General features: G+C 37.3%; 2 protein-coding genes across 4 annotated transcripts in view; one reads left to right on the top strand and one right to left on the bottom strand.

Moving 5' to 3' along the window:
* The window catches only part of GPR75-ASB3 (GPR75-ASB3 readthrough), a 189,675-nt gene that overhangs the window by 49,423 nt on the left and 122,949 nt on the right, over positions 1-17,303 (top strand). The gene's annotated exons all lie outside the window — the stretch shown is intronic.
* The window catches only part of ERLEC1 (endoplasmic reticulum lectin 1), a 31,753-nt gene that overhangs the window by 8,252 nt on the left and 6,198 nt on the right, over positions 1-17,303 (bottom strand). For 2 of the 3 annotated variants that reach the window (NM_015701.5, NM_001127397.3), the window contains exons 2-10: positions 16,096-16,200; positions 14,532-14,612; positions 12,953-13,030; positions 12,750-12,813; positions 11,464-11,498; positions 8,925-9,148; positions 8,703-8,832; positions 2,085-2,246; positions 1,272-1,331 (exon numbers count right to left, since the gene is read on the bottom strand). In NM_015701.5, the coding sequence (NP_056516.2) occupies positions 1,272-1,331; positions 2,085-2,246; positions 8,703-8,832; positions 8,925-9,148; positions 11,464-11,498; positions 12,750-12,813; positions 12,953-13,030; positions 14,532-14,612; positions 16,096-16,200 (939 nt within the window). The remainder of the gene's footprint in view (positions 1-1,271; positions 1,332-2,084; positions 2,247-8,702; positions 8,833-8,924; positions 9,149-11,463; positions 11,499-12,749; positions 12,814-12,952; positions 13,031-14,531; positions 14,613-16,095; positions 16,201-17,303) is intronic. The other variant, NM_001127398.3, reaches the window with a different exon arrangement.

The raw sequence follows: 17,303 nt of genomic DNA, 5'->3' as shown, positions 1-17,303 counted from the left end.
TCATTAATTAAAGCTTGTCTTCAATACCTAGCAGCTTACTTTACTAAACAAAGTATAAGTAGGACAAATAACAGAATTGGAACTTGAACCTCAGAATTTAAGCAGGCTGGCTCAAGTATGGGAGAATACGGTGAGTTATAAAATTATAAATAAAAGAACTCAAAAAGTATAATCTTAAAACTTATTTTAAACTTAGATGATATGGTATTTTCTTTTTTTAAAATTTTTAAAATTTTTTGTAGAGATGGGGTTTTGCTATGTTGCCCAGGCTGCTCTTGAACTCCTGGCCTCAAGTGATCCTCCTGCCTTGGCCCCCCAAAGTGTTTGGATTACAGGCATGAGCCACTATGCCTGGCCCAGGGTGTCTTATTCTTTTGGCTGAGAAACTTGCTGTATTTACCCAATTTTTGTAACCCTAGTGATAATGTATGATCTTATCATTTATTTTCGTTCTTTTTTTGTTTGTTTGGTTTTTTGAGGAGTCTCGCTTTTTTGAGACAGAGTCTCGCTCTGTTGCTCAAGCTGGAATGCAGTGGCGTGATCTCGGCTCACTGCAACCTCTGCCTCCCAGGTTCCAGTGATTCTCCTGCCTCAGCCTCCTGAGTAGATGGAATTATAGGCATGCACCTGGCTAATTTTTGTATTTTTAGTAGTAGAGACGGGTTTTCACCATGTTGGCCAGGCTGGTCTCGAACTCCTGACCTCAGGTGATCCGCCCACCTTGGCCTCCCAAAGTGCTGGGAATACAGGCGTGAGCCACTGTGCCCGGCCTCATTTTCTTAATTATTTTTTGAGATGGAGTCTCACTCTGTTACCCTGGCTGGAGTGCTGTGTTGTGATCTTGGCTCACTGCAACCTCCTCCGCCTCCCGAGCTCAAATGATCCTGCCACCTTAGCCTCCTGAGTAGCTAGGATTCCAGGCATGCGGCACCACTCCCGGCTAATTCATTTTCTTAATTTAAGGATAAGTTGTAAGAATGATTAATTTCTTGATCAAAGCAAAAGAGGTATAGCCACAACAGCTCATTATTCTACTAGGCTCATAGTAATAGAAGCATATGAGTAATTAATAAGCAATATCACTTTAAGGTTACCGATTTGGTTAATGCCAAATGTTCCATTTTCCAAAATTTGGAGATACTTTGATTATACTAATCATATTAAAATCATCTCATAATTAAAAGTTATACCATTCCCCCTTTTTTTCTACAACAGATTCTTAAACTTTAAACCATCTAGTGGTAGAATGATATATAAATGCTATTCTATACCTCATGGTATTGATGTACATGTTTGCCATAGCAGAATTCATATTTCCACCAACCGACACCCTAAAAAAAAAGAAAACATATTAGATCAAGTTAAGAACTGGGCCTTTCTCAATAATGCCACATGACAGTAATGGAAATACATGTTATTTTTAAAACCTGTAAAAGCAATAGTATGGTTGAATATTAAAAGAAAACATTACTGAGAAATTAAAGACAAATACAGAGAATATGCACTGTCTTGGTAAAATTTTAAATACAATAAAACAAAAATTCCACTAGTAACTGTATTTCCCACTAGTACTAAGAGTCAGGGTCAAAATTTTTAACTTTGTAAAGGGAGATGTTGGCCAGGTGCGGTGGCTCACGCCTGTAATCCCAGCACTTTGGGAGGCTGAGGCAGGATGATTGCTTGAGCCCAGGAGTTTGAGATCAGCCTGGGTAACACAGTGAGACCCTGTCTCTAACTTTTTTTTTAAAGGGAGATGTTAATTCCAGTTTGAAATGTGATTGCTACATAACCAAAATGTGGGATATACAATCACATGCTCATTCTAGCAATCAACCAGAATCACATATGATTGCCAGACAAAAGGTCAAATTTTTACCTTGTGAAATAAACAGAACATAAAAGCTATGGATTAGATTACAGAAACGTGGGGGTATGAGACTGCAAAAAGAAAATGTTCTTTGGGGATGAAAGGATCCTGTCATTTCTCTAGAGAAAAATTCTTTTCAGTGCTGCTGATGCCCACTGACCATACCTGGCAGGTAAAGTTGTAAAATAAATATTTAAACTGAAGATTTACTTCTCACCCCACGAAAGCAGTAAGAACCACTAAGAAACTCTTTTATGAGTTGGTCATCTGTCAATTTGGATATGTGGGTTGTCCCAACAGTGAGCACTGGCTGAGAGCCAATAGCAATCGACTTGTGGATCGCTGGAAATCTCTCTTCTTTAGTTGATTGCAAATCTTCCTAAAATTAAACACACACGTTTAAGGGTTTCCATGCCAAACTTAATTTCTTTTTTCAGTTATGGCTTAAGTTATTATTTTTAAACTGCAGAAAATTTGAAAAATAAATTGTCCACTTGCTTTTAATACACTTTAAGATAATGGACTTTGCAGCACTTAGCATAGAGAAAGCTCCAGACAAATGTTAGTTCCATCTATCAGTTACGACCATCCTAAACATGAAGGGTTAATTTCCATTTCATATACTTTGTCTCATTATTCTTTTTTTTTTTTTTGAGATGGAGTCTTGCTCTGTCGCCCAGGCTGGAGTGCGCTGGTGCGGTCTCAGCTCACCACAACCTCCGCTTCCTGGGTTAAAGCAATTCTCCTGCCTCAGCCTCCAAAGTAGCTAGGATTATAGGAGCCTGCCACCACGCCTGGCATTTTTTGTTGTTGTTGTTGTTGTTGTTGTTGTTTTCAGTACAGATGGGCTTTCACCATGTTGGCCAGGCTGTTCTCATACTGACCTCAAGTAATCTACCCACCTCGGACTCCCAAAGTGCTGGGATTACAGGCCTAAGCCACCATGCCCAACCTTGTCTCATTATTCTTAATAAGTACTTTGCTACTTGCTAAGCTCTGTGTCCCTACATTTGGTTTTGGAAAATGTGGTCACTAAGGGTAAAGAAAGAATAACAAACAGGGTAAAGAGAGCTGGGTTCAAATAAATATGAATATTAGTTACAATTATTAAAATGTAACAGGAGCATGCCTGTAATCCCAGCTACTCGGGAGGTTGAGGCATGATAATCTCTTGAACCTGGGAGGTGGAGGTTGCAGTGAGCTGAGATCACGCCACTACACTCCAGCTTGGGTGACAGAGTGAGACTCTGTCTCAAAGAAAAAAAAGGCAGTAAGGGCACAGAGGACAGTAGACTCACAGAGGAAGAGGTGGCTCAAATAGGCTTTGACCAAGAACTGAAATATGAAGACTTCACAAAGAGAAAAACTCTTAATCAATTCTTGAAACAAGAATAATAATTTGTGATTTATGTGTTTATCTGTGTGTTCTGTGACTATGTGTGTATATATGCATATAGACTTGAGGAAGAGGTAAAACCAAAGATGTGGGGGTATGATATTTAAATCTAAAGAGAGAAGCAGGTGCTATATGGTAGAAAACTAAATGCTGAGAGGTTTGGACATCATTTTATAGGATTTAGGCAAAGATGTGCTGTGATGATATTTTTAAGTATTACTTCAGCAGTGGCAAGGAAGAAGGAATAGCAGGGACAAATCTAGAGGAAGAGAGTCAAGTTAGGAGTTACAGTAACCCAGGTGAGAGATGAAGAGAATCTAAAGTAAGGGAGTGACAGGGTTGGATGTAGAGAAAAGGGTAATTATTATTAAAGAGGTTAAAAAATTAGGATCTGGTGGTTAAATGGGTATTGACTGGCAAAGAAATGAATGTAGACCTGAATTTAAAAAGTGAGTGCACCGATTATAAATGAATGAATGATTTATAAAAATTAGACAGTATATGGGTTTCCAATAAATATATGGTGGATACTATGTCCCCTTTTTCACTTGCTGCAGTTACCGTTAACCAGCTATGGTTCTTTTGCTTCTACTTCAGCTTGTATGAGTCACTGGACGGTTACTCCAGAAAGCAATGACCTTATTCTCTCTTCCTCCCAATATTAGGAAGAACAAGGACTGTCAAGATGCTGTCTTATTTTTTGAAAAGTCTCTGAACTTTATTGTATACCTTTTTCCACACACAGAGCCTACTATATTTTGGCATTACTTTAGGTGCTGCGTATTAAAAATGAGGCAAATATAGCCATTACTTCAAAGGAGTGAAGGTCTAACAGACTAAACTAATAACCTGGGAATACATGAGACCTCTATTAAGGTTAATGAAGAAAAACAATAATGCTGCATAGTGAAACCTGCAGCTGAGATAAGGGGAAGAGGTGGCAAGAATAGAAGCATGACCCTTTATTACTACTTCTTCTGGACAGAACATCCATTTTCATTTTTAAGGAAAATTATTCTAATAAAAATAGGATGGTAGTTTATATAGTAGAGTAGAAAATTCATTACATGGACTCCTAATAGTCCAGTAATCTCTAAATTAACATAACAGGCAGAACATCAAACCAAAACTCTGATAGCCAGATTTATATTTTTGTTTATAAAAGAAAAAAAGTGTTTATCTGTATGGGAAAGGCTGACCCACACTAAAGAGGCAAACCATATGCTAAATGTACATTTTCAAAAGAAAAGTTACGTTTAACAGATTTATGAAAAAGTGATTCTGAAATAAAGATTATCAGTTTTAACTAACTACTCATCCTACAGTATCACCTAAGATTTTCATATGGCACATGTACCCTAAAGATACTAAGTATCAACATCATTGATCATCAGAGAAAAGCAAATCAAAACTACAATGAGATATCATCTGACCCCAGTTAAAACGGCTTTTATCCAAAAGACAGGCAATAAGAAATGCTGGCAAGGATGTGTGGAAAGGTAACCCTTGTATACTGTTGGTGGGAATGTAAATTAGTACAAACACTATACAGAACAGTCTGGAGCTTTCTCAAAAAACTAGAAATAGAATTATTATAAGATCCAGCAATCCCACTGCTGGGTCTATACCCAAAAGAAAGGAAATCAGTATATTGAAGAGATATCTGCACTTCCATGTTTGTTGCAGCACTGTTCACAACAGCCAACATTTGGAAACAACCTAAGTGTCCATCAACAGATGAATGGATAAAGAAAATGTAGGGTCGTCCAGCTGCAGTGGTTCACACCTGTAATCCTAGCACTTTGGGAGGCCAAGGCAGGAGGAATGCTTGAGCTCAGGAGTTCGAAACCAGCCCGGGCAACATAGCAAGACCCTTTCTCTACTAAAAAAAATTAATTAAAAAAAGGGTACATATACACAATGGAGTACTATTCAGCAATAAATAAGAATAAGATCCTGTAGCTGGGTGCGGTGGCTCATGTCTGTAATCCCGTACTTTGGGAGGCTGAGGTGGGTGGATCATCTGAGGTCAGGAGTTCGAGACCAGCTTGCCCAAGATGGTGAAACCCCATCTCTACTAAAAATACAAAAATTAGCCGGGCATGGTGGTGGGTGCCTGTAATCCCAGCTACTCAGGAGGCTGAGGCAGGAGAATCACTTGAAACCAGGAGTTGGAGGAGAATCACTTGAAACCAGGAGTTGGAGGTTGGAGTGAGCAGAGATTGCACCACTGCACTCCAGCCTGGGCAACAGAGTGAGACTCCATCTCAAAAAAAAAAAAAAAAAAAAAAAGAGATCCTGTCATTTGCAACAACGTGGATGGAATTGGAGATCATTATGTTAAGTGAAATAAGCCATGCACGGAAAAACAAACATCCCATGTTCTCACTTATTTACGGGATCTAAAAATCAAAACAATTGAATGCATGGAGATAGAGAGTAGAAGGATGGTTACTATAGGCTGGGAAGGGTAGTGGGAGGTTGTGAAGGAGGTGGGGATGGTTAATGGGTACAAAAAAAACCTCTTAGAATGAACAAGACCTACTACTTGATAGAACAACAGGGTGACTATAGTCAATAATACTAAAAGAGTCTCATTGGATTGTTTGTAACACAAAGGACAAATGCTTGAGGGGATGGCTACCTCATTCTCCAAGATGTGATTATTATGCACTGCATATCTGTATCAAAATATCTCATGTACCCGGCCACACGTGGTGGCTCATGCCTGTAATCCCAGCACTGTGGAAGGCCGAGGTAAGCAGATCACTTGAGGCCAGGAGTTCGAGACCCGCCTGGGCAACATGGCAAAACCCTGTCTCTACTAAAAAAATATAAGAATTAGCTGGGCATGGTGACACGTGCCTATAGTCCCAGCTACTCAGGAGGCCAAGGCACAAGAACCACTTGAACCCAGGAGATGGAGGTTGCAGTGAGCCAAGATTGCGCCACAGTGAGCCAAGATTGCACCACAGCACTCCAGCTTAGGGGAAAGAGTGAAACTCTGTCTCAAAAACAACAACAACAACAAAAGAGTATATGTAAAATATCTCATGTACTCCATAAATATATACACCTGCTATGTACCCACAAAAATTAGAAATTAAAAAAAATGCTGAGTATTTTTATTTTTTTATTTTCATTTTTTGTTGAGGTGGAGTCTCGCTTTGTCGCCCAGGCTGGAGTGCAGTGGTGCAATCTTGGCTAACTGCAAGCTCCGCTGCCCAGGTTCGAGCCATTCTTGTGCCTCATCCTCCCGAGTAGCTGGGACTGCAGGTGTGTATCACCGTGCCTGGCTAATTTTTTTGTATTTTTAGTAGAGATGGGGTTTTGCCAGGTTGGCCAGGCTGGTCTTGAACTCCTGACCTCAAGTGATCTGACTGCCTCGGCCTCCCAAAGTGCTGGAATTATAGGCGTGGGCCATGTGCCTGGCCTATGCTAAATATTTTTAAAGCATTATCATCTGTAGCTTTAAAAAATTCAATTTTTCTTGACTGGCAGATTAAACCTATTATTTAATTAATTAATTTTGAGATAGGGTCTCACTCTTTTTACCCAGGTTGAGTGCAACCTTGAATTCCTGGGCTCAAGTGATCCTCCTACTTCAGCCTGCTGTGTAGCTGGGACTACAGCTATATGCTAGCACGACTTTTATATCACTGGCTGAATTTTTTTTTTTTTTTTTGTAGAGACAGGGTTTTAGTTGTCTAGTCTGGTATTGAACTCCTGGCTTCAAGCAATCCTCCTGCCTCGGCCTCCCAAAGTGTTGGGATTATAGGCATGAGCCACCATGCCCAGACTAAACACATTATTTAAAGAGAAGTAAACTGGCATCTTTTCCTTGAAGAGTAACGAAAGCTGGGATTTATGAAGCATTTTGATTGAGCTAACTTTTAAGTATGTGCCAGTATACTTCACTATCAAAACGAAGACCAGAAGAGAATTCTAGCCCAAATCTTTTAATATAGCATTTCAAATTAAACTGTGGAATTAATCACATTTTCCTCCTATCAGAATGACAGTGTTGGTCACAACATGCACAAAGAGTCCAGTAATATTTTTGCAGAAGTACTCAAGAGGAAGCAAAGAAACAAGCCTTGCAGCCAAGTATGTTTCTTCTGCCTTCTGGTTTAATGAAACATCCATAGGTAAAACAATCAGTCTTAGCCATGTAAGTGCTATGATGGAGGTCTGAATGAAATACAAGACCACAGAAGAGGAAGTAGTTATCTCTTCCTGGGTTAATCCACTGGAAGTTTTGGCTCATTTCCAAAGGAAGTAACATTGGAATCACATCTTCAAGCCTAAGTAGAAGTTCATGAGCAGAAGGGGTGGGAGGGGACAACGCAAGAGAAGAAGAAAACAATATACTGAAGGTCAAGTAGGGCTGGGTGAGGTGGTGCACGCTTGTAATCCCAGCACTTTGAAAGGCTGAGGCAGGAGAATTGCTTGAACTAGGGAGGCGGAGACTGCAGTAAGCCGAGATCATGCCACTGCACTCCAGCCTGGGTGAGAGAGCAAAACTCCGCGGTACTTTTAAGAAACTCTAAGCTGTTCAAAACAGCTGGGATGAAGGGAATGGTGATGAAAGATGAGGCTGAAATCAGACCACAAAGGGGTTTGTATTACACGAGTGATGATTCTATCCTGAGATGTAGTATGTGTTAACTACCAAGAGATTAAACACATAATCAAAGGGTGATTTCAGAAAGAGCATTTTATCAGCTGTGTGGGAAGAATTAGAAAGGGGATGTGTTAAGAGACCAGTTTCTGGTTCCAAGAAATAATGAAGTCCTGAACTAATGACAGGATGGATTTAAAAAGCCTTTAGAAGATAACACTGATACCTTTTAGTGGATGATTAGAGTTAGAGATAAATGAAGAGATACAGGTAAGAAAAAAGACTTAGGTTTCTAATTGGTCAATTGGGTAGAACACAGGAGAAGGCAAGAAAAGGGTCAGTATGAAAGAGAAAAAAATGATGAGTGTGAGATTATTAAAAATGTATATATGGCTATGCCCAGTAGGCAGATGAAAATGGAAGACAATATATTAAAATGGGGAGGCAGTGTAGAGAAGTGGTTAAAAGGGCAGCAATGAGCTGAAGAATTAATAATGTATCAGGAGACAGAGATAGGGTTTTAGTCTATTTTTCAAGAGGGTTAGCTGGGACAAATACCTAAAAATTAAATTATAATGAGTAGGATGTCAAACTTTAAAATATTATGAAATTATGAATATAAGAGAATATTAAAATAGTTTGAGTAGTACTAGAATAAGGAAAAGGATTAAAATCAATGAAAAGAAATGAAATTCAAAAGGTTGGGCCAGTAAAATAAATTACTACCATTATACTACAGAAATCATTAAAATATTGACATATGCTCTGAAATTTTAAAAATGAAGCACCAAAAAGCTATCATTAGACAATTCTCATACCTCTTTATTTCTCCTAAAAGGCACCCTTAGTATTTCTTCCTGCTGCTCCAGCTGCCTCAGGGTGAGGGGCTTAAATGGAGATCCTGGCAGTGATTGACAAAATATGTCATTCACAGGAGATGCTCTGAACCTGTTCAGTAGGAACAAAGCATTAAAGCTATGCACAGAACACTTTAAAGCATGTGTGCATTTTATGTTTAAAATATTAAATGCACATCCTACCTATATTTAGGATGACTGCACAAGAGTGGTGTCAAAATGACAACTTCATATTCACAAGTTGTAACTTCAGCTACTGAAAGAATTTCATGCTTAGATTCAGGATGACATATGTACATCACAGTACTTGATCTGGGCCGGTTCTGTTTCAAACTACAAGGTGTACCATTTCCCATTCCCACAGGATAGTATGGTGTCATCTGACCTTCGATATTTTTAGTGGGAATCTTAAAAAAAAAGAGTATAAGACAGACTTTTCATTAGACATGGAGATGGGACTGGGGGTGGGAGAGGAACTTATTATTCTGAAAGGAAGAAAACTACATTTTACTAATTAACTGAAAGGTAACACTTCTATATTTTAAGTTCTCCCTCTAATATTATTTTGATTCGTAAGTTTTTATTTGAGCAAATATGTATTTTCAGAGCTAGTTTAATACAGCAAAAAGATTATTTAGTGCCAAAATTAACATGTTAAGTAAATGTACATTTATATAAAGGGCTACAAAATAATGATTAATATGAATTATTCTCAACAGTTCTAAAGAAAGAGACTAAGATAAAATATAGAAACTTACTATACTGGGCTGCTCAGAGCTTTCTTCTCTAAACTCTCGGTAAATGGCTATATTAGAGTTTAGATTTGATAGGTCTGAAGGCTGATTTGCCAAAAAATAGGGTTGTATAGTAAAACACACTATTCTAAAACAGAAGTTTAAATACAGTACTGACTGGTTCATCAATCTACTTACTCTTCTTCCCCGTTTTTAATATTAACAGCAATACTATCCAGCATGTAAACTCCTATATAAATATACTCAAGGCCAGCAAAAGACAAATTAAAAATTTTTCATGGAATGAAGGAATAAAGGATAGAACCTGAGAAGACAAAGATCACTAAGAAGTTAGCTCCTACACTTTTCTCTACATAAACACAAGAAAAATCCACTCTAAGAACTTTAAAAAGGCACTGTTAATAATATCTCCAAACAAGCTCTTTGGAGGCAGGGATCTCATCTTCTATCACTTTAGTACCCTATCAGCACTATGTCCGAAACCAGAATAAATAATGTTTTCAGGAAAAAATGTTTTGAGATTTCCTTATATGTATGTGATTTTTAAGCTAGTGTCTGAAATTAGAAAATCCTGGGTTCAAATCCAAGCTTTAAATTTACTAGATTTATGGCTTTGAATAAATTTCAGTTTTTATCATTTGTAAAAGCAGAATAATAATATACAGTCATGCACTGCATAATGATGTTTTGGTCAACAATGGACCTTATATAAGACAATGGCCCCATAAGATTGTAATGGAGCATATATCAGAAATCTGATATATCGTATTTGATATTGGCATTGCGGTAGCAGAAATGACTGATATTCTGTAATGGTACTGCGAACTTGGTTTTCTATGGGGAAAAAATATAAATAAAAATACACATACCACGTAGGTTTGTGTAAGTACACTCTATTATGTTTGCACAATGATAAAATCACGTAACCACATAATTCTCATAATGCACCTCCACTGCTAAGCGATTCATGACTGTGTATTAAAAGGTTTTTGGGAGAATTAAACATTAGCTTTTGTTAAATGTCTGGCAGTGTCTGGCTTATAAACTGGGGCTCAAAAAATAGTTTTCTTCCCTTACCATTTTCTTCCTCTTCCTTTATCATTTTACACTTTGAATTCCATCTTTTGCTGTCTTTCAGAGTCACAGTAAATAACTATTTTAATCTCAAAGGTAGTCTATAAAATTAAAATCTTTTAAAATAGCAATGCTATGTGTGTCTCTGCTTAGCTTATCAAGTCTCTCCAAAGCTACCCTTTAAAGTTATAGGCATCACTTTTAAGTAATTTTCAAAGACTTTGCCATTTTACTTTACTTCTAAAAAAAGTATCAGTATGATATTAAGCCATTTATGGAAATATCCTCTATTAATAAGTTATTTTTAAAAACTCTATAAAAATTTTTGGGATTTAAAAATTGTGATTAGATTTCCTGAGGAATTATTCTTTTTAAACGTCCCTATGTTACAGAAATCATTTATCCATTCTTTCTATTAACATTTATGAAGTGCCTATAATATGTCTGACACTCTGCTTTGTACTGTGGGGTAAAGAGATAAAAGACTGTCCCTGCTTTTAACATGCTTGCAGTTTGGTAGCTTGTTATTTACATTATAGTTTACCTGTTTTGCCCACAGGAAATGGGGACCAAAACTCTTAATAGTTTCCAGTGTTATATAGAGGGAACCACTGCTAAGCACGTAAGTGATATAATGCTATTACAGAATCTTCCCCAGATACATCAGTGATAGATTTATTTTTGTATAATCTTAAGAGTAAATAGAAAGACCACAGTGTAACTTTTCTCGGAAAAAAGGAATATACTGCAAAGATTCTTTGACCCAGTCCTTCAAGGTATTTGATAGATGAAGAATAAGAACATAAAGATATATTCTGTCACTTGGGTTATATAAATTCATACCTCACTAACAATAAGTGTTAAGAGGAAAAAAATCAACATCTGTCACTTGCCTCATTTGATTTTTCCTTTTCTTCTGCTTCTCGTTCTGTGGAATAATAAGGTAAGTGTAAAGAATGAGCAGTGACATATGTGGTACAAATGAGTAAGTTTTCAACCACCTTTGTAACCTTAATCTTCTTTCTAAAGAAGGTCCAAAACACATATGATTTTTATCTTACTACTTTAAAGCTAGTTTCCTTGAAATGGTTTTGTATGAAAGGAAGTCATATTTAATCTTTACCCAGGAAATACTCTATTTCAGGTAGAAAACTGGCCACAACAATTTTCTTTCGAGGTATTTTTATCTCAGTGAAAAATTTAATATTAAATTAACTGACCAATCTGAATATAGAATAAACATATTTCACAATTTGAGAGATATATCTATTTCTACATATAATAACTTTGCTTAAGCCAAGCAGAAGACTAACACTTATATATAACACTAACATGCACCTGGCATTGTTTTCACTATTTTCTGCTTTGATAAACATGTTTTTTTCTTACTTATTTTAGTAAAGCTTTTAGGCTGTGCATGGTGGCTCATCCTCATGCATACGATCCCAGGACTTTGGGAGGTTTGGGTAGGGGGATCGCCTGAGCCAGGAGTTTGAGACCAGCCTGGGCAACATGGCGAAATTCCATCTCTACAACAAATACGAAAATTAGTGGGCATGGTGGCATGTGCCTGTGGTCCCAGCTACTTGGGAGGCTGAGGCAGGAGGATCACTTGAGCCCAGGAGGTCAAGGCTGCAATGAGCTGTGGTTGTGCCACCGCACTCCGGCCTGGGTGACAAAGAGAGAATCTGTCTAAAAAAAAAAAGGTGAAAACAAAGACTTCTTTGAAAGTTTTGTAAGGGACAGTTCAGAAGCCCATTTCAGTATTTTATTTTATTTTGAAATGGAGTCTCACTCTGTTGCCCAGGCTGGAGTGCAGTGGTGCCATCTCGGCTCACTGCAAGCTCCGCCTCCTGTGTTCATGCCATGCTCCTGCCTCAGCCTCCCAAGTAGCTGGGACTACAGGCGTCTGCCACCACGCCCGGCTAATTTTTGTATTTTTAATAGAGACGGGGTTTCACCGTGTTAGCCAGGATGGTCTCAATCTCCCGACCTTGTGATCCTCCTGCCTTGGCCTCCCAAAGTGCTGGGATTACACGCGTCAGCCACCGCGCCCAGCCTATTTCAGTATTTTAAAATTCACACAATGTCCAAAAAAAAAATCTCGTAAATTCCATTTTGAACATATATTTTAAACCAAATTCCAGCATTACTGTCAAATCACTGGGTAGACACCAACCTTTTTCAAATAGAAGGTTCTTGGCCAACATATTCCCAAGGTAGTACTCGTGAATATTTATTTTCTACATTGAAAAGTAAAATAAAAATATACTAAGTATTTTGCAAAGACATTTTTAAGGATACAACTTTAAAACTATCAATCTCATTATTAAAGTTCTCATCTTATAATGTTTCATAATAATATTTTGAAGAAAAACACACCTGACCAGTTTCTTTCTCTTCATGGTACTGCCGAATGTGTTTTCCATGACATACTTCGTAAGTCCAATAAGACTCAATCTAAAAAAGATGGATATATTTCAATGCACAAAAGCCACATAACTCAGCTGAATTACTTTCTGATATTTGAAGCAGCTGAGACTTCCCCTAAGATTTCAGAGTAAGCTTTCATTAAATGACACTTATAATTATGCCTCAAAAAAATGTGAAATTTCTGAAGTCTATTCATTATTTTCACTAGCTCTATGTGAGAATTCTGTGAAGGAAATAGGTCTAGAATACACTTGGGGTCTGTAATAATTACCTGGCTTAGGGACAATTTTCTACATAGCTTAAAAAATAACAATTAGCAATTTAAATTAAAATTCTATTATATACTCGGCCGGGTGTACTGGCTTACGCCTGTAATCCCAGCACTTTGGGAGGCCAAGGTGGGCAGATCACTTGAGACCAGGAGTTCGAGACCAGCTTGGCCAACATGGCAAAACCCCATCTCTACTAAAAAATACAAAAAAATTAGCGGGATGTGGTAGCGCGTGTGTGTAACCCTAGCTACTTGGGAGGCTGAGGCAGAAGAAGCGCTTGAACCTGGCAGGCGGAGGTTGCAGTGAGCTGAGATCGTGCCACTGCACTCCAGCCTGGGTGACGGAGTGAAACTCTGTCTCAAAAAAAAAAAAAAAAAAAAGAAAAAGAAAACTTTATTTTGAACTGAAAAACATTCAAAACAGCTTGGTAAGTGATATGATTTGTTATTGGTATTATTGGGTATCTGCTGCATACACTAGACAGGAATTTAAATGAATAAGATATTATTAAGAAATAACTAGCTGGGCACAGTCGCTCACGCCTGTAATTCTAGCACTTTAAAAGGCTGAGGCGGGTGGATGGCTTGAGTTCAGGAGTCTGAGACTAGTCTGGGCAACACTGTGAAAAACCTCATTTTTATAAAAAATACAAAAATTAGCAGGGCATGGTGGTGCTCAGCTACTGGGGAGTCTGAGGTGGGAGAACAGCTTGAGCATGGGACGTTGGGGCTGCAGTGAATCGTGATCATGCCACTATACTCTAGCCTGGGTGACAGAATGAGACCTTTTCTCAAAAAGAAAAAAGCAAAGAAAGAAAAAAAAAGAAATAATTTATATTTATACCTAACTTAACATCTGATACAATAGGAACAGAGAACCAAATACTGTATGTTCTCATTTATATAAATGGGAGCTAAAAAATGAGAACACATGGACACAAAGAGGGGAATAACAGACTTAGGGCCTTCTTGAAGGTAAAGAATGGGAGGAGGGAGAGGATTAAAAGAAAAAAAAAAAAAAAAACCAACCCATCAGGTACTATATTCATTATCTAGGTGACTAAATAATCTGTACACCAAACCCCGGTGACATGCAGTTTACCTATATAACAATCCTGCACAGGTAACCCTAAACCTAAAATAATAGTTAAAAAAAAAAACCTGACACAACATAATAAAGAAGAAACGGTATTTTCAAAGGTCTGTTGGCTGTTGGTAATCTATTTTCTAGTCATCAAGTAAACATAAAATACATACTCTGTAGGAACAACTGCTTTGTTTAAATAGTGGCTCCAAAAGCTCTCTTGGATTAGGGCCTTTATAATCCTTTTCTTCTTCCTAAGAAAGAATTGGAGTTTAATACTTACAGTTTTTCTAGAATTTCACCCAACTTTGCTGTTTGGATATTAACTCATTACTCAAATCACAAATGCTTAGAAATAAAAGAGAAAAAAAAGTCAAAATGTTTAACAAGACCCTACGGTACGCCATTGCTTTCAAATAACTGAAGTATAAAATATGGAGCCGTAAAATAATCTTCACAGAGTTCATGCTTTCTTAAAAAAAGGTTTTTTTAAAATGTATTTTTGCTTTTCACAAGGCAAGAATGGAGGGAAAAAAGGTTTTTAAGTATCAGTTTCCTGAACAATTCTTATAAACCTATTTCAGAATTTTTAAATGCTTGTACCCAAACAAATTCTTAGCTATGAAAGCCCTTAGAATAGTTGAATCTTATAGGATATATTGGAAAGTTTTAAGGCACTTTTCAGTTTTTTATGTATTTTTACATTTCAGATTTGAATGCCGTGTGCGTGTGTGTGTGTGTCTCAAGGAGACTTAAAACAGTGGTCTTTGATTTCAAATCTGAACAAAACCCAATAAAGCACTGAGTTTAATATTTCTATTTTCCAGATCATGAAAATATTACTGAATTGGCTTAATAAATTTATTGAGTGGAGGAAGTCAGTTTCAAATTTGTTCAAGGTTCCACAGCTAGCTATAGCCTATACCTCAGCCTCCTGGCTCCTAGGCCGGTGTCCTTCCCATTTTACCATGCTGCCTCTCCTGTTTCATCTTGAAAGAAGTCATTGCCTTGAAGGATGGATAAGAGGCAATTAGGGCATTTTAGGAGGAAGAAAAGGGCATGGGCTAAGATAATGAGAAAGCATGGGGTACCTACAGACTTATTTATAAACAATCATTTATTTAAAAAGTCACATATACATTTAAAAATTGTTATCTTGTTTTAAAACCCTAATTTCTATAAAGAAAGCAAGTGTGGAGTTAGATTTTCATTCAAAACGTTAATAATTGGTTGCGGCCGGGCATGGTGTCTCATGCCTGTAATCCCAGCACTTTGGGAGGCCGAGGTGGGCAGATCATGAGGTCAAGAAATCGAGACCATCCTGGCCAACATGGTAAAACCCCGTCTCTACTAAAAATACAAAAATTAGCTGGGTGTGGTGGTGTGTGCCTGTAATCCCAGCTACTTGGGAGGCTGAGACAGGAGAATTTCTTGAACCCGGGAGTCGGAGGTTGCAGTGAGCCAAGATCGTGCCACTGCCCTCCAGCCTGGCGATAGAGTGAGACTTCGTCTCAAAATAAATAAATAAATAAAATAAAAAAAAATTGATTGCTAATTTTTCCCAAGATAAACTGCAAAATCAAAGAATTCAGGGATATTAAAAGTGATTACTATTTTTATGCTAAAAGAGCGTTATTGAGAAATCTGTTATTCAATTTTACTTCAAAGTATGTAGTTACAATGTTTTACATAAATATTTTTGGTGACAGGATTATCAATATATTTATAAAAACTTACCTCATCCCCACTTGTCACAAGGGGAAGTATGCATTTATATTTTTCTTTATGTGCAGTTGTCATGATGACATAATTATCTTCTTTATATAAAACTCCAGTTGTGGGCTGCAAATAGAAGAAAAAACATACATTATGTTCTCCGTGAAATTGTATCACACTGAATAACTTTAGTCTTAGCTGGAAAAAAGATTCTTTAAACTAATTTAACATTTCAACAGATGATTATTTTAAAGGGAGGGAAAATATGCTACAAACATTAACAAAAATTTTAGATTCGGGGGGTACATGTGCAGGTTTGTTACATGGATATATTGCATGATGATGAAGTCTGAGCTTCTAATATCCCTGTCACCCAAGTATTGAACATAGTATCCTAATACTTCATAGGTAGTTTGTCACCCCTCCCTCTCTCCTGTCTTTTGGAATCTCCAGTGTTTATTGTTCTCGTCTTTGAGTGTGTATTCAACACTTAGCCTCCACTTATAAATGAAAACATACGGTATTTGGTTTTCAGTTTCTGTCTTAATTCACTTAAGATAATGACCTCCAAGCTGCATCCATGTGGTTGCAAAGGACATGCTTTCATTCTTTTTGGTGGTTTTATCAACATATTTATTAATTACAAAATGAAGATAAACTTTATCCTGTGTCATAATAGGAAAATAAATGAACAAAATAATGTTTGGAGTATAAAGAAAAAAGGAGGAATGCAACAGATTGAAGTTAAAATAGTGATTATACTTGGGAGGTTGAGGTGGGAGGACTACTTTAGCCCAGGAGTTCAAGATCAGCCTGAGCAACATAGCAAGACCCTGTTACAAAAAAAAAAGAAAAAAAGAAAAAAAGGCACTAAGAGGTGGCAATGAATGTTCATAGATACACCATCACTGAGCACTTATTAAACTTTTGTAAAGGGCCAGAGAGTAAATATTTAGGCTTTGTGAGCCATATGGTCTCTGTTGCGCCTCTGCCACTGTAGCAACAAAAGTACACAATATGTAAACAAATACGGATGATGATGTACTAATAGAACCTTATTTATAAAAATATGTGGTGGGACAGCGCAATGGCTGTAGTTTGCTGACTTCTGGCATATATTGACAAAATTATCCTTAAAGCTTTCTACACTATGAAACCAAACAAATTCACATTGGTTAATATGAGTCAACAGAATTCAAATAAACACTTCAATTAATACAACAGATATT

The sequence above is a fragment of the Homo sapiens genome, chromosome 2 (genome assembly GCF_000001405.40).
Source record: "Homo sapiens chromosome 2, GRCh38.p14 Primary Assembly".
In the NCBI taxonomy this organism is placed as follows: Eukaryota; Metazoa; Chordata; class Mammalia; order Primates; family Hominidae; genus Homo; species Homo sapiens.
Note: the sequence above shows the minus strand (reverse complement) of the source record. Positions and strands in the feature narration are given on the sequence as shown.